Genomic DNA, 18,648 nt, shown 5'->3' on the forward strand with positions numbered 1-18,648 from the left:
AACAAGCCAAGACCAAGAGAGTGGTCTGTGGCTCGTAGATACCAGTGGAGTGGGAGAACAACAAGATTCAAATGTGGCGTTAAAAAATAAAAGAAAGAAAAAACAAACAGAAAAACCCAGGCTACCAACCAGGCAGGAGCAGGAAACCATCACAGGTTAATTCCACAGCCACTCACCTACAGAGAGCAAGGTCAGAATTTGGCTGGCATCCCGTGTGATATCAGTTTGGTGGTTTCAGTCTATGCTCCAGGGAACATTTGTCTCGGTGCCAAACCAACAAGCATGCATGGTTGGCAGGCTGTCCACTGGAGGCCAGGGATGAGGAGCTGTGGAAGTGTATCTATTTTCACTTTGCAAGTATTTGCATGCCAACACCTCGGCCATTGTGGCTCTTTGGAGAAAGAGGGGAATTTATGCTAGAGAGCGAGGCTGTGTTCAGACAACTTACTCCACATTGGGGTGCTGGAGCTAGCAGTTCCATTCCCTCTATCCTCTTGCTTTGGTGAGTATTCTGAAGTTTATCACTTTGTCAGAGGTGAAAATAATTGAGCTACTTCCTAGATAAGAAAGGTATTACTGGGACCACCTGCCAGACCTTCTTAGCAGGTGAGAATTCTTTTTGTGGTTGCCATGTGTATCACAGATTTCCACTTAGATGGGGTAATCAAGAGAAAAAAAGACAAGATATTCACAAGATGTGCAAGTGCCATTTAGGAAAAGGAAGGATGTGTTCAGTAGAAAGCATTTAAGAGGGGTTCTGAAAGGAGGCCAGCATTCATTCAGATCTTTATTTGAGCAGTGAGCATGCTCAACCATAAAGACCCAGAAAGAAACACCACCACCTAGCCTCCCTATATTAAAAGAGTTCCCAAAGGGAGTACCCACTAGTAAGCAGATACACTAATATTTTTTCCAAGAGAGATGAAAAAATTTGATGCAAGTAATTATGGAAACAAGAAGAGAGTAGCTATGGGTGGAAAAGAGAAGAAGGTGGTAGAAGGACTTCCCAAAAGAAGCATCATGCTTTCATTGAATCATTTCATGATGTCCAGCCCTAGTTGAGGTGATGGTTAGCAGCAAAGAGCAGCAAACAACATGGTGCTGTGCTAGGGATGATGTCAGGTTAGAGTCAGAAGGATGATGCTATGTAGACCTTGAACCTATCTGCAAAGAACTTCCAGTTCAACACTCTCGGTACTTAGAAACACAACCCACATTTCCCAGGTGTCACCAATATTCCCTTGTGGATGGGGTCTGTTAGTAGATCTGACCATGGAAAGACTGTAGTCTACAAAGAGAGGTAATTGCATCTTTACTTCTCCAGAGAAAATTTAGTGATTTGAAAAAGCAAAGATGGCTGCCCTCAAATTAATCCCTGATGGACCAATGGTAAGTTGAGCTTGGGAATTTCTCCCAACCTGACATTTAAAAATGTCTATCTACTAGCAAGTAGCTATTGAGGCTTTATAGAAACTCCCTAAATTGCCTCTTTTCCCTCCTATTATCAAATTCTCAGCAAATTACATGATCATTTTCATAGCTTCCAAATGACGTGTCTATATGGTTGTGAGACCAAATTTGTCCTTAAGACCAAAGCTACTGATAACCATTAGGGATCCTGATAGATATTGATAGGCCAAATCCCCATTTTGTTCCAAATATGTTCACTGAAAAAAAAAACCTCAATATTTTCATAGATAAGTGAGAAGAGTGGGAAAGAAGACATCCTCTTTTATGACTAAGACAAGTAGTGAATGCTGGAGGTCCTAGGTCTCAGGTATACTTTCCTAATTCTGGGCCTGCTTCTAGGTGGTTTTTGCTCAGACTGAAGCTATCTTTTTTTTTTTTTTTTAGCAAATTTACTAGTTTTCCTTACTGCATGCTCTACAGACCTTCACTTCCAATTCTAGAGCAGAATTGGAACATGCTTGTGTGAAGTCAGCTAAGTGTGTTCTCTATTGATTTGTTAGCATATTCTTCACAACAAGAATGGACTCACATTTCACACATTCTAGGGCCTCAGTGTCAGCTCGAAGGGAAGAAGAAGCAAGAACTGAAGGAGAAAGGGTCAAGAACTCCAAGAAAAGCAGGTTACAAAACAGTTCAAAGTAGTACATTACGTGACAGCTTCATGCAGACAGCATTGATACTTAAGGGTTCTTAATGGGACAGCAAAAATCTCCAGGGGTGATACCCTGCCTGCCATGACAACTTCCCATCCCTCATTATGCTCTAGCCCAGTAGTTCCCAGTCCTAGCTATATATTAGAGTCACCTGGGGAGCTATAAAAAAAATTCCCATGCCCAGGTCTTACCCAGAAATTCTGACTTAACGGATCAGGGATGGAGCCTGAGCATTGCATCTTAAAACATTCCCATGGGGATTGCATTGCAAGCCATTGTAGTGGGCTGAATAAAGGCCCCCCCAAATATTATATCAAGTCCTACTTCCAGGAACCTGTAAATGTTACCTTTTATGGCAAAATTGGGTTTTGCAGATGGGATTAAGTTAAGGATGTTGAGATGGGAAGACTGCCTTCATTTTTCAGATGTGCTCTAAATGCAGTCACAAGCATCCTAATAAAAGAGAGGCAGAGGGAGACGTGACACACACGGAGGGAAAGGTGATATGAAGATAGAACACAGAGAGATTTGAAGGTTCTGACCTTGAAAATTGGACTGATGTGGCCACAAGCCAGGTAATGCTGGCAGCCACTAGACACCAGAAAAGGCAAGAAAAAGATTCTCTCCTAGAGCCTTGGAGGGAGCACCGCCTTGCCAACGCCTTGATTTCAGCCCAGACATTCTGATGTCAGACTTCTGAACCTCCAGATCTATGAGAAAATATGTTCTGTTATTTTAAGGCACTAAATTTGTGGTAATTAGTTATGACAGCCAAAGGAAACTAATTCAGCAGGTTAGCAACAGCCACTGTAGTCCTACTGGCCTCTGCTAAAGTCTTCAAAAGGCCTCAGTGTTACCTCCAAGACTTTGCACTTGCTTTTTCTCTACCTGTAGCACTCTTTCCCCTTGTCTTCACTTGGCTGACTTCAGGAGGCTTTCCCTGACCCAATCTCAGATTTTGCTTTTTTTTTATTTTTTTTTTTTTTTTTAGGATTTTGTACTTGTCTTTCATAGTACTTACCAGTTTTTAATGAGCTATGTAGTTGTTTATTTATTCAATGCTTTTCTTTCCCACCAGAATAATAAACTACTCTCTGAGAACTATGCTTACATCATTTTATACATCACTGTATTTTCAGTACCTAACATGGTGCCACACACATAGTAAGTAATCAATAAAAACTCATTAAAAAAAATAATAAATGAACTAATAATCTTGTAACACATAGGACTGAACTCCAGATAACAGTCAGGGATGCCAGATCAGAGTCTATCTCCTGGGAGAGGGAATAACAAGGTCCAGGAAGAAAATCTGGGCCCCAAATAAAAAAAATATCTCAGTTCTGACTGTGCTCCAGACTCTGTGGGAGAACTCGAGTGGTGGGGGAGAGTTTTGCAGGGGTTTGTATATGAACACTTGACTCCTGATTTGAGCAGCCAACCACACTTCCAGACTGCATTTGGTATAGGTCATGAGGATCTTGATACAGTACCAGGTTTGACAAGTATTGGCTCAGGAACTGGAAAGGGAAAAGAAAAGAGGTGAAATAACCTTAAGACCTGCAGCAGAACATAACTGGAAACAAGTAGGCACTGACAAATATGTGGACCAGGCAAAACCAATCCATCCCTTTATGTGCATGAAAGACAGGACACTAACTGAAATCCATCAGTCTCTAGGTGCTTTAGTATGTTCCCACTATCCATCTGTCTCCAAGTTAAGAACAACACCTTTTGTGATATTTGTATATGCATCTATTTTTAAAAATCACTTGAGTAAATCTGGAACACGAAGTAAAATCCATTGTACTGTTCCTTACTGACTGCCTGCTTCTACTATAGTAAATAGATGCCAAAGGTAAAAGTGAATGGTGCTGGATGCTGATTTTCAGGGTCAAAAACCAAGCTGATTGTGTTATTAGAACCCCACAAGCTATTCCCTCCCTTCTCTGGCCATTTCTTGGTGAAAAAGCAATGGCAAGAGAGAGGCAACTTTGAAAATCTAGGAATTCCAGGATTGCAAATAGCAATTAAACAAAAGGGCAGAATTAAAAGCCCCATCTTCCGCCAAAAAGGTAGAATGATCAGGTAAGGGAAGAAGAGTCTTGGTAAGGTAGAAATGCTTGGAGGAAGATTTCAGTTAGGTTCTTTTCTCGCAAGGAACAAATTCAACCACTCATGTGAGGGAAAAAAAAAATGATGTTTTAACCATGGCTGTTGTTTTGGTTTGGTTTGTTTTAACTCCTCCAATTTGACCTCAAGAACATGTTGACTTTGTGTTAGTGAATGTAAACATTTCAATCAGAGTTAACAGCAACATGAAAAACTTTTCATCGAGAAACAATTTTCTGGAGCAAATTCTATTGTTTTTCAGCGTTTTCAGTGTTTCAATTTCATAGTGTTTTCAGCGCTCAGTCTGTGAGCACTGTATCTCTGGTTTTTAGCAGTTCCACTATGATGTACCTAAGTGTGATTTTCTTTATATTTACTTTGCTTGGAATTTGCTGAGCCTCTTGAATCGTAATGTCTTTCGTCAGTTTTTAGAAAGTATTCAACAGTTATCTCCAAATTTGTTGCTTCCTCATTGTCTCTCTCCTATCCTTTCGGGATTCCAATTACACATATGTTAGAACCATTTACTATGTCTCACATATTTATTTTGCTTGGCTCCATTCTTTCAACTTTATTTTTCTTTCTGTGATTTAATTTTGCTATTTTCTTTGGGCCTATCTTTGAGTGTACTAATCCTGTCTTCTGCCGTACGCAAGCCAAGCTCTTGCTAAACCTGTCCAACAAATTCTTAATGTCAGCTATAATATTTTTAGGTTATATAATATCTGATTGATCCTTTTACACAGATTCAAATTCTTAGTTGACCTTCATCTTTTCATCTCTTTTGTATGTATTTTTCTGCATTTTATTTAACATATGTATAATAGTTATTTTAAGGCCTTTGAGGTAACTCCAATATCTGGATCATCTATAGGTTTGCTCCTATTGCTTTTTTTTTTATTTTTAGTCATGTTTTTCTGCTTCTTCACATGCCTCATAGTATTTAATTGTATGGTGAACATCATGTGTAAAATAATCTTCGAGACGGCTGTCTTTGTTATTTCCCCCAGAGCATTTGTGCTTTCCTTTGAAAAACAGATAGGGAGAGGGACTATCTCTCAATCACCTCCATCCAATCAGAAATTGAACTGGCTTAGAGCTAGATTGCAGCTTCAGCTAGACTTAGTTCACCTCTGCTTTCAAAAATCTCAAGGACAGTTGTGTGTTTGTTGTAGCTATTCGTCTCAAGGATTTTCCAAGTGCTTTGAGGCAGTGAGAGAGTGAGACACTTGACTCGGCTTTCCAGCCCAGCCTCCTAGTCTCTTAGCATCCCTTCCCCCAGGCCCCAGCACTCAGCAAAGGTCCTTTGGGAAATTGGCTAAGACCTTTAAAATCCCCCAGATCCCAGCTTATCAGCATCCTCTGCAGGTTTGTCTTTTCCTGGTAGAGTCCCTTGGCCTAGCCAAGCCTGACCAATCCACAGTCTGTGAGCGCACTTGCAATAGTCCCTAGGGAAGAAAATGGTCAGTGACCTCAGCTCATCTGTGAAGGGGGCATCTCTCTGGAATTTTAACTTATCTGTAACTTTTTGCTTCCTACATCTCCTATGTCTTTAAAAATATAATTTTCTTAATTTATCCAATTTTTCTAGTTATTACAGCAGAAATCAACAACTTGCCTCAACCTTCTACTCAGAAACACACAAGCACCCATTATTATAAATTAATTCCACAAATAATTTTCTATATAGAATAGTCAGGCTTTTCCTGGTATTTTTGCATTTCATTCTTATTTTACTAACATGATTTTCATCTAGTTCAATTTTTCACCATGTATATTTACAACCAAGATGTGGTTTATTGATCAGTATCTTTGACCATATGAAATTCCATCATTCATAGCATCTGCCATTGTGAGTTTTCATGTGTGACCATAGAATTTTCATCTGTGACCAAGTTTAATTTTACACCTTCGAATTTTGCATATCTAAACTTAGTCAAGAAGATTACATTCTTCAGACAAGTTTTAGACTGTACTACATTTTACCAAGTACAGTTTGTACTTTCAGATATTGTAATTTTTATTTTGTATTGATCATTTTTACCAGTAACATCTATTAAAAACTTAATAAAAGATGATGTCTGTACTTAAGTCTTATTTAATCTCTAAGAAAATTGTGTGCAATTCTTCTCTGATATTCTAAAAATTTTGTAGTATCTAGTGGTCTATTCAGTGTGAATTAAGAATTGGTCTATTGCATTCTTAAAAAATTTCTGGCACAAGCCTGTCTTTATAGAGTAATAATGTCTAGTGTTGGCAGTGCAGAAAGCAAAATGATGAAACTGAAGGGGTAAGCTTGTAATGGCAAGATCAACATGCCTTGCATCATGACTGGAACACAAAGACCTTGGTTGCTGAAACAGCTCTAAGGACTTGGGGTTGACTCTATCTCAACTTGCCATGACCTTTCTTCTCTCTGTGTCTCTGCTCTTGCTTCCTCTCTCAAGAAAAGCCTTCCTTTGATTAGTCATGGTTGTTCTACTCACAACCTCAGATCTCTCAGAGTCCATTATGGCTGCCCTGGACACTCTGTATCATGGTTCATTCAGGTTTCATTTCTGCCATAAATCCTCTCCTCTCATTTGGTATTATGTCTGGGTTCAAATTCCTAAGAGAAGGAGTATGACTAGTCCAACATAGCCAGAAGCCTACAAGGGCCCTAGTTCAGGTATCTTGTTGAGAAATCTCTCTAATCCATTTTTTCTCAAGGTATAATCCACTGATCACCTTCAAATCGGAGGATCATCTTTCCATATTCCATGGCCCCAGGCCTTTCCCTTTCCCCCAAGCATAAGGGAAACCAGGCAAGAAGCTGCCAGGGATCCCTGCAGCCCTTCCCCCACCGTAACCATGAGAAAGCATCCTGGTGTAGCTCAAAAAGCTCTAGTATCAGATGATTTGGGGTTCAAATTCCAATCTCTTTGCCTCTAAACTGATTATGAGTGAGTTCCTAAATTCTCTGAGTCTTAGTTTCCTTGTCTGTAAAATAAGAAAATTAAACTGATAAAAACAGATACTACACTTGGTCTTCACCAAAAGGCCAAGAAGTGATAAAATAAGAAAATTATATCTACCCTCAGAAAGAAATGGCATATATAAAGAGGCTGGCACAGATAAATATTAGTTCCTTTCCTTCTGAGGGCAAGTCTGTAGCACCACCTTCATTTGCAGAGAGGAGAGCAGAATAATAGTGTGTGGCCAGAATCAAACAAAACACATGAGATGATCCCAGGAAATAAATGAATAGATTTGCCAGCAAGAGACATTGTTATTTTTTCTCCCTGCCAAGACGTACTTTCCCAGATATACTGCATTTCTTTGGATAACTCCACAACCACTCAATCCAGATATAGTCTCTCAGGCAGGCAACATGTTTACAGTCAAAATGCTCACTTCCACTTCAAGTTTCCAATCCCCTGCTGCTACTTTCTGCAAACTTAATTAATTTGTTGCAGCTAACATTTGTTCAACCTCACGCAGCAATGGGAAACTGAACGAAACAGGCTCTTGTAAATTAAAAACATTTCAAAATATTGTCTTCTCCCAAGAAAACATTTCTTTTTTTTTCTTAAATTAACACTCCATTTGGATAACTTTAAAGTTTCAAAAGAAAACAAACAAGGAAGTTCCAATTAATGTTGATTGTCTTTAACTATTTCACCGCCATCCATCCAGGCTACCACTCTTATTATCCTAAGCACTGTCATCTTCTTAATAGATATGCAATAGACCCTCTACCTATCTCCTTTGCAATGCTTAGGTGATTATATCACATATGGTCCTAGTGTGAAAATGCCTGCCACACACTCCATCAGTCCGCAGATTAAGATGTGCCTAAACCCTAAGTGATAATGTTGTCTTGGAAAATTAGAAGTGCAAGTGCCATATTGAAGGCAATGATGTGTAGCAAGGGGATATAGCAGATTTTTCTTTTTCTTATTGGTTTGGTTGTTTCACTACCAAGACACAATTACATTGGCTAAGACTAATGTAATAATAGGAAGACTAAATAATACGAAGAGTGGCTAGGAAATGGCCCTGCAAGCAAATGTCACCTTATCCCAACAGATTAATCCAAGGGATTCAGATTGGGGCATTCTGATCTGTTGGCCTGGTTAACAGGCCCAAGGATATGTGTAATCTATCAGGGGAAGCCCCTACAATGACCAATGAGTGTGAAAGAACATCCTAATAGCTGCTCTTCCACTACCTGCCATGAGTTTTGTATAATGTTTCCTTATCAAAAGGGCTCAATAATATTCATTCTGTCTCTAGTGCATGATCGGTGAGGCAGTCTGTGCGGTTCTGCACAGATGTAAAGTGCTGCTGTTGTTGTTGTCATGAATAATGTAGTAGGAAGAGCTTTGAGCCTGGAGTTAAGTGACCTGAGTCCTAATCATAGCTTTGCTCATAAACTGATCAACTCACTTCCTTGGGAGTACATAAGAGAGTATACAGTGACAAAGTAAAAGACCCAATATTGGGGGACTCTTCTAGGGGGACGCTTCTACCGGCTCTGTGAGACTGTGTTAAAAGGCTATCATTGTGTGGAGTTATCAAACAATACTCCGACGTCTTTTCTCTGGTTTTACTCTAAAGTCTTTTCATCTTTTCATATGTGCTGATAATAATGCTAAGATTCAAAAATGTGTCACAAACATAGTTTGAGGACACCTGGTTAAATCAAAGAGATAGAAGGGAGCAAAGGGGGAAACCTAAAATGCAGACATTAATCACTAATTCAGTACTTTTAACTTCTAAGAAATGTGAGGCATAAATGTTTTCAGAGATTCCTGCCAACAGTAATGCTGAGCCAGGGGCAGTGGCTCACTGCTGTAATCCCAGCACTTTGGGAGGCCAAGGCGATAGGGTGGCTTGAGCTCAGGGGTTTGAGACCAGCCTGGGTGACATGGCAAAACCTCATCTCTAAAAAAAAAAAGAAAAGAAAAAGAAAAATTAACCAGTCGTGGTGGTGTGTGCCTGTAGTCCTAGCTAGTCAGGAGGCTGAGGTGGGAGGATCACTGGAGCCTGAGACTTTGAAGCTATAGTGAATTGTGATCGCACCACTGCACTCCATCCTGGGTGACCAAGTGAGACCTTGTTTCAAAACAACAAACAAACAAACAAACAAAAAAACAGTAATGCCAAATATAGGAAACCAATCAAAGCTTCTATGACAATAAGGAAAAAATACTTGGTTTAATTCTGTAAAGAAAGCAATAGTTACTTATGAAAAAATATCTCCATTGTGTCTATGACAGGCATGGTAATCAGCATAGTATTTAAAATATCAGGTTATTTTTATTGTAATCTTTATTTGATTTGCTCAGATGAAGAGAGTAATATAGCATAATCTCTCTCCATATATATGTATATATAAATTATATATATTATTATTATTCAAATAGAGAGATACAGATACTGGGATAGAGATAAAGCATAATCTCTGTCCCTCTGTTTCTGTCTGTCTTTCTAAATATAAAAATATATGCATATATAACATATAATGTTATACATGTAGGTATCTGAATAAAAGTTTATATGTGTATACATCCATATGTATATATGCATGTTTGAAGAGATATACATAGAAGGACAGAGATCATAGACAACTAGTTGCCTTCTAGTTACCAATAGCCCTTCTCTTTACTAAAATAATGCAGACTTTGTTGAATAGCAATATGTCAAACTGAAAATATTTGGAGCGTTGTTTGCAAATAGGGGTGGCTCTATATCTAACTGCTGACCCATGAAAGGTGAGCAGAAATCATGGTATGGAGCTTCTAGGGCAGCACGTTAAAAAGCCAGGCTGATTCAGTCTGCAAGCCCCGTTTGCCCCTTGCCTTCCCACTTTTCTCTGTCTATTGCACAGATGCTGTGCTTGAAGAGGATCGGCCAGATTGTGATTTTGAAGTGACAAATCCATGCTAAGGAGGGCTAAATGAGAAGGTGGGGAGAGGCTGAGTGAGTCTCTGCTCTTACCAAGATTTGCCACATCAATCAGCTTGGGATTACCTGCCTCCATACATCTCACAATATGATAAAAATAAAACCCTTGATTTTTAAGCCTCTGATTAGGACCCTCTGTTCTTGACAGTCAAATATAATTCCTAACTGATGCAAGAGGAACATTGATCCTTACCCTCAAGGCATTTATAGTTTTCTGACAAAACAAGGTAGACATTTATGTTTGACCTAATTAAACAACATAGACTTGCATAGGAGTGAATGCTTATACAAACGCAACCTCTAAATGCCACAGATGTTCGAAACAGAGAGAGAAGACTGTGGACTAGAATTTTTGAGGAACATTTTCATGGTGTGAGAGGGACCTGTGCTGGTCCTAAAGCTTGGGGAGATATTAATAACTAGAGATCTAGGAAGAGAATTCCAGGCAAGAAAAACAGCAAGGATTTCGTCACAAGGTGAAGAAAAGCGTAATTGCTAACTAGCTGACCCAGAAGGAGGAAGACAGACTATGGGGTAGCTGAAGATGAGTTGAATAAGCAGTATGAGACTAGATGACAGCAGCCTTGAAAATCCAACTATGAAATTTGATTTATGGGCAATGAGTAACTGTTCATCATTAATTCTTTATGTCTTTTTCTGGCCCCTTAGCTACTCTCTAATCCCATGTTTTTAGTTACTTATAAGATAGCTCCACAAGATATCCCAATTGAACCTAGATTTAATTTGTCTACAAAAAAACTCACCATTTTCCTTCATCAAGTGGCCAGTGGCATTATTAACCATCCAGGCTTCTAGGGTAGAAATTTTGGAGTTATCTTTGACTTATTTTTCCTTCCCCAACCCCTATATCCAATGCCACCTAACCCCATCCTTCCTTCCTTCGAAATGTCTCTTGAATTCATTTATCTTTCTCTTTTTCTACCATCACCATCTATGGCTGTCTTTTCACTCTGTTTCCCACAAGAGTCTAACAAATCTCCCCACTACACCCTTTCCCTGTTGTAGTCAAACTGCCAGAAAAATCTTCCTAAATGACTACTTAAATCACACTACCCTACCCCTACCCTTCAAAAACCTGGAAGTTCCTCTGCTAAGCTTATGAGACCTTTCATATTATTGCCATCCAACCCATCTACCTTATTTCCTGCCATGCAGGAACCTGAAACCAATGCTGTAGTCATCTGGACCTCCCCAAGACCCTCCCTGACTCTACACTCATTCCCAGTTCCCACCCACTTAGAATATCCACTATTTCCCTTTTTGTTTGTCTAAATACTATTCATTCTCAAGATTCAGCTAACTAACCTCTTCCTCCAAGATTATTTTGATCAACACTGATCTCTTCTTTGCCCAAGTCCTAATCCCATTGACAGTTTAGTGTATACAATGTATTAATTCTAATTATTTATGTGTTTCAAGCTTGCCAGTCAGGTAGATAATAAACTATTCTAAGGTCTTTGAAAACTGGAACCACTTTGCCATCAACTCTTAAGATTGAGGAAATCCTATGCAATTCATCCTTGCTGTTCCCTGTGAAAGTCATCCAGTCTCTGCCAGATCAAATCCAGTGATATAGCCTTCAAGAGAGCAGTTATTCAACAAATATCTATTCAGTTAATAATTTATTAAATTTGTCTGATACTATGTTAGGCAAAAAAAATTCAATAAATATTCATGGATCATTTGATAGAAACAGTTCGCTGATTGAGGTTTACAGATGATGACACTATGAATGTATGTTTTAATAGACTAATCTTTTTATCCGTACCCATGACTGTTGACTCTGCCATGAGAGTTTTAGACACACTAAGTCTATATAGCTTATATTAATTACAAAAACTGAAGGAAGTTCCATTGTTCTGCAGAATTTATTATGGTTTAATGACCACTGCTTATAGTTCAATTAATCCTCATTTATGGACTGATCTACTTTGAATTGCTGGACTATTAACTATACCATTGTTCAAAAGGCAGTAACTATCTTTAGCTGAAAATTGAGAGGTATAGAACTAAACTAGGTGTTTCCAGCCAAAATTCCTAATGAATTCTGACGATCCATATCATCCCTTTTCATTTATTGAACCACTCAATATTATTGTAGTTATTTTGTTTTGATTCAAAGGAAACAGTTCCATTATCAGGCACAAAGAGAGTACCTATTGAAAAGTGAATTTAAGAAAGAAGGATTATATACTTAAAGAAATAACTCATAATCATCTTATAAATAATTGATACCTGTGCTAATTTTGCAAAAACAAGAACACTAAATAATCAATAAATATATATTGTTTTTATATATTTGAACATTTATTATCACCAAATCAACTACATTGCTTTGTTTTAACAGGTCATATGATACATCAGAAAAAACTCCAGATAATGTGTTTTTAAATTTTTCCTTTTATCTTGACATCACTAAATGATTGGGAGTATTCACCATTGAGTTCTTTAATGACAATATCCTTTTCTTTTACAAATGGCTTTGAAGTCTTCCACCGCCTGTTACAAGTATTTGGATACTTCCCCACCAAGGGTGGGCAGGAAGCCAACACAAGCCACCAGGTGCCAATATTACACCTGACAAATTAGCCACACGACTGGAAAAGGGTGGGTCCATCCTCCTGTTAGAGGTTCATTTCCTCTCATTTTCCCATGAACAGGAAGTCATTGGAATGGGGAAAAAAGCTTTCCTTAAAGACCCATCTGACCAAAGGTCTGAACTTGTTAACTCCCTGTTAACAAGCAACTTGAAAGCAAGTTCAAATGAATCACAAGACTGTATTTACATTGACTTGTTTAACCCTGCTGAGGGCCTGGATTCCGGGATGTCGGGATTCATATAACACTCAGGGTGAGGAGTGCGCCTGGATGTCATATGGAATAAGGACAGCTGACAGAGGAGGCGGATGCATGATAGCCCTTGCACAAACCTTGGGAACCTAAAAGACTGAAGATAAGATCTGACTGAAGCCACAGTTTAGGGACAGAACCCTATTTAATTCACCCAATTCGACAAGGTGATTTGAAGAATTTGATCAGAATTGACTGATAGTCCATAAAATGCTACACTGTATTCATACAATACTTGATTCAGCTAAATCCTCTGAACTAATGACTTGTAACTACCTCCTAAAGATCAATTATAAAGCTTGATGAGTGTAAAATAAAGCATAATAAGAGAATGTTTTCCAGCTGAAAAGTAATCCAAAGAATAGAGTTCTACTTATCCTAACAGCATCCCAAGAGATAACTGCTATATTATGTTTATAATGCATAAACACTTGTTAAAATATATTTTATATACTAGTTTTTAAAAAAGTATTCCAAAATGACATAACATAATGTGCAATGTTCTACAACTTGCCTTTTCACCTAACAACATGTTACTGACATCTGTCCTTGACAGTTTATACAGTATATTCATTCATTTTAATTGATATATCCAGTCAACTCCCTTAATTTTTTGCCAACCAGATAGGTACAAAATGGCAACATATACTCTTTTAAATTTTACATGTCTTTTACCATTGAGGTTGAGCATATTTTTCAAATGTTTGCTAGACATTTGGATTTCTTCTGAGAATGACATATTTTATACTTTTTGCCCATTTTTTAAGTGTTAGTTATATTTTTCTCATTAACTTGAAGGCATTCTTTGAATAATAGATAGTAACCCTTTTTTCTGTCATGTATAATTCAAATGTTTTGTCCCAATCTGTCACTTCTTCTTTAACTTTTTTTTTATGAAGTCAAATCTGTCAGGTTTTCCTTAATGGCCTCTGGATTTCTCACCTTGTTTACAAAGACCTCCTAACCTAGGGTTATTTTTTATTAATTTATATTTCATTCTGATACTGGTATAGATTTGATTTTTATGTTTAGAGCTTTATTCCATCTGGAATTTACTTTTGTGTATAGTATGAGTCCAGATGGAGAGCCAGTTGTCACAATACCATTTACTGAACAGTCTCCATTTAGCCACTCATTTGAAATGCCTCCATATTATCTGTTAAATTCCTCTATATTCTTAGTTCTGCTTCTGGACTCTAGCCCTTTTGATTAGTTGATTTTTCTAGCACAACACTTATGTATTAGATTTCTTAGGATGTGTAGTTTGTTTGATGACTACTAGGCGAGTCTTCTCTCAAACTGTTTTTTTTTTTATGACTACTGTCATTTGTTTCCCTTCCAAATGAATTTTCTTTTTTTTTTTTTTTTTGAAATGGAGTCTCACTGTGTTGCCCAGGATAGAATGCAGTGGCACAATCTTGGCTCACTGCAACCTCCGCCTCCCGGGTTCAAGCAATTTCGGATAATTTTTTTTTTTTTTTTTTTTTTTTAGTAGAGATGGGGTTTCACCTTGTTGGCCAGGTTGGTCTTGAACTCCTGACCTCAAGTGATCCACCCGCCTCAGCCTCCCAAAAGTGCTAGAATTACAGGCGTGAGCCACAGCCCGGCCCAAATGAACTTTAGAATAGGCTGCTTACGTTCTATTAAAAACCCCATTGCATTTCAGTTGATAAGAAACTGAGTGAAATGTTACATCTTAAATTCGTCTGATTTAAAGCACAATCAATGTTTCATAAAATAAAATCATACATTTTACAATGCTTTTACAAATTAAACTATTATAATAAATAGGGTATACTGTCATTATTTTTGTTATGTCAAAACTTTCAGGGGATACAAATGGAAACACTTCCTTTTGATTGACTGTTCAATCCACCAAACAGTAGCCTATTCTATGTTAGAAAACTCTAGTATCTGTTATGAGAATACAGAGATACATGTGGCATTATCTTTGTCCTCGAAAACTTACAACCTAGTTAAGAAAATAAGACATATATATATATATATATGATATATAAGGCATATTGATTAATGCATATTGATACAAGGCAGCTTATATGAGGAATCAAATGAGTTACTGTAGAAAATAAGAGCACTAAGAGTAAAAAGGCAGGAGAGTCAAGGCAGAGAAGTTAGAGTGTCTCTCTTATTTTACAAAAAAAGAACGTTTGAGACCCAGACATTTCAAGTCACTGAGCCAAGTAGACAGAAAACATCAGGTCTGCTGATTCTCATCCTTGTGACTTGTCTACTACATCAAATAAAACTCACACTTACAAGTGTCAATATCCATAAACTGGTTTTTCAAAATCAGTTTAAAAAAAAAAGATTGCATTCCGATAACTCCATTACAGGGATTTATTTTCATCTATATGACATCAGAAACCAGATATTAATGATGTTTCACTTTTCAACCAGTGGTTTTGACATAAGAACACATAGCCTATATCTAGGTAATAAAATGGGAGGGTTTTTTTTTTTGGCCCCTTTACACAATTCATCCCCTTGTCATATTTTAAAGCCCCCAGGTAACAAATCCTAAGACCCACAGGAATCTTTACACCAGCAGAGAAGAGATTTCTAAAAGTCAACATCAAATCTACTTTTGATTTTCCCTTGAGTTTGTTTCTGTCAATGTTAGGCAGGTAACACATTTCAGCTTTTAAGCCATGGAGTGATCTTTTTTTAGAAAAAAAAAAATGTGCACTCACAGCTTTAATCTTATATTTCTATGCATATTGAGTTAAATGTTGTAAAACTATCAATTCTGTCAAAACCTACCAAATAGAAAACAAGACACCATGCAATCTTAATGTCCAAACTGACTAGTGATTATCAGAAATTAAATGTGCAGGAATTCCAAATCTTTTTTGATTTGAGATGTCTAGATAACTTTTGTTTTTCCATAATTGTATGAGGTTTCTACATAGTATTTAAGACTCAATTATATTGCAATTGATGTAATTAACTCTAATAATCCATTAAAAGTCAGTAGGAGGGCTATTCAAGTCAATAGAAAAGAAGGAGTATATTATGAAGGTGTTATTAACCTATACAGAATTTTACCAGACATTTTCTTTTCTTACATAATAAATACACAGTGGTTAGGAAGGCTGTCATTATCATTTAATGTGAACAATAGTCCATCACTTCTTTTCCTATGCAACCCTTAACTAATTCCATGTACCATGCACAAGTAAAATGAAACCTTTTCTAATCAGGGTACAGTCATATCAATCATCCATTACTCCATGATTAAAGAAGAGGTCCTTTCTCAGCTAAGTGGAAGAGAATTGGGTACCAGCAGAAGTTTCAAGCCCACCTTCTCTTTCAGTTGACAAGTCTCAGTTTCTGATGGCTGTCTGTACTTTGCAATTAATAAAAGCATAAACAGCCATCCAGAAAGTCCTGTTTAGAATACTCTGGCAACCATTAAATTGCCACTGAAAGCATGGCTACATGTTCCCTTGAACATCAAGTGAACGTTTGAGCATTCTGATCTTTTGAATTAAGGGAGACTAGCCACCTTTACAGCATTCCACAGGTCTACGCTACTTCCTCAGGAGTCCTGTTTGGCTCTAGCTGTGAACCTCACAGACATCTAAAACAGTGAGCCTCAATAGAGCTAACCCTACTGGGACTACAGGTTGCAGAGCAAGTTCAAGGGTCTCAGCTCACTTCCCATTCTTTCTCCATTATTCCCAGTAAAACAAGATGGAAATAAAAGTCAGGGGAGCACAATTTAAATCACACATCACCAAACAGGCTGTCCTTCTCTGAAAGAACTTTCACCTAGCCCCAGTTCCCAGTTGTGCTTTTCCAATCCGATAACGAACAAAAATGTTGTACTCTAATATTTGCATGAAAGAACACTTCATTCATGGTCTTATCCACTTATCCTACTATAGACTTCATTAGGAATACAGACTGTGTTAGCTTCTGCTGGTTTCACATATATATCATGGTAACTAGCCCCAGCTATGTGGACAGCAAGCATTATCAGGAATAATAACACTTCCACACAAAGAACAGCTATGCCTGAAAGAGCTATAGAGCCACAGGGGTTGTAGGGGAAAGAACACCATCCCTGGACTCAGAAGGTGGGATGAGTACAGACTCTGCCACAAATTGGCAAATACTGCCACAAACAGGATCGAAAAAATATCATTCCTCTGCCTCAGCCTCTGTACAATGGGTGGAAAAAGAACTCACATCATAGGCCTGTTATTAAATTAGCCTCATTAAATCAGGATTAAATTAGACAAACATGTGAAATAAGCCTTACAAGAGTCATAAAACATTACACAAACCTGAGATTGTGTTTGTGCATTATTCAAAGTCACAATAAGTTCTTAAAGCCAAGGGAGAAAAGGATAAAACAGCAGTTCTCAAACTTCGGTGCACATGAGATTCATCTCGGGTTTCATTTCAAAGTACACATGGCTGTTTCCCAGGCCTGAGGCCTATTCGAACTACAGGCTGAGAGACACTGGGATAAGGGATTGGCTGAAAATTGATTCCTATTCATTCATCAGATAGTTTAAGTACTAGGAAGCCTTAGAGGATACAAATAATTACAAGATACTGCTCAAATGTCAAACAACTCCGGCTCTACATGTAGAGAGACGACAAATATCCAGAAATGATAAAATGTAAGGCTCTGTGTGTCAAAGCAGAAAAGCAGCCAATGAGTAACACCTCTTCTAGTTTCCCCCTTGAACCAGAACCTAGAAGAGGCTTCATATTCCCGAAAAGGAAATTCTGGTTCACTCTTATTCCTAAAGTACACACTGTCAGTGCTTTCTGGTCCCTTATGCATGAACCTCGCTCCTAGACCTCAAGAGCCAATGTGAGTCCTAGAAGTCTCAGCCAGGAATCAGAGAGAGAGTGTGGATCCCATCCTCTCTCATGAAAAACCAGGCCTCACCGTGAAGTGGCATCTCTCTCACTCAAAAGGTTCATCTCTGATATTGAACAAAGAACCCTTTTCATACCGGAGAACTACTGTTTTCTGAGGCCTAGGTGCAAACTGAGCAAACCAACCACAGACCTGGGCAGTCACAGCAACTAGAACATGAGACTCACCCTCTGAAGGGTCCACTTTGAATCTCCTCCCTACGGCTAGTCCCCGAGAGAGTATTTGGGCACAGCAAAGCTGTGGCTTCAAAGTCACAGTAACCTTCTACATGCCTGGGAGGAGATAGAGAATGTCACCTTCCTTTTTTCTGAAACTCCCACTGTCCCTTTGTACAGGTTCAAGAACACAGAGAAAGGAGACCTGGTCCAAGAAACAAGAGGCCTGGGTTGCCGTTCTGCCCTACCAATAACAGGCTAGGAAACCATCTCTCTTTCTTTAGCCACATCCTTTTCCAAAGAGGAAAATTCAGGAGATTAGCATCTACTCCAGCTACTTCACAAGATGAAAAACTCTTTTGAAAAAGTAAAACATGGCCATGTGCAGTGGCTCACGCCTGTAATCCTAACACTTTGGGAGGCCAAGGCAGGCGGATCACCTGAGGAATTGGAGACCAGCATGATCAATATGGAGAAACCCCGTCTCTACTAAAAACAAAAAAAAATTAGCTGGGTGCGG

At 38.3% G+C, this 18,648-nt stretch overlaps 1 long non-coding RNA gene and 1 other non-coding gene across 2 annotated transcripts in view; both read right to left on the minus strand.

The window, feature by feature from the left end:
- Positions 1 to 18,648, minus strand: part of PROX1-AS1 (PROX1 antisense RNA 1) — a 166,513-nt gene that overhangs the window by 114,948 nt on the left and 32,917 nt on the right. The gene's annotated exons all lie outside the window — the stretch shown is intronic.
- LOC124904651 (U2 spliceosomal RNA) lies at positions 7,091 to 7,287 on the minus strand. The gene has a single exon (XR_007067159.1). It is a non-coding gene; the product is annotated as a U2 spliceosomal RNA (small nuclear RNA).

The sequence above is a fragment of the Homo sapiens genome, chromosome 1 (genome assembly GCF_000001405.40).
Source record: "Homo sapiens chromosome 1, GRCh38.p14 Primary Assembly".
Classification (NCBI taxonomy): Eukaryota; Metazoa; Chordata; class Mammalia; order Primates; family Hominidae; genus Homo; species Homo sapiens.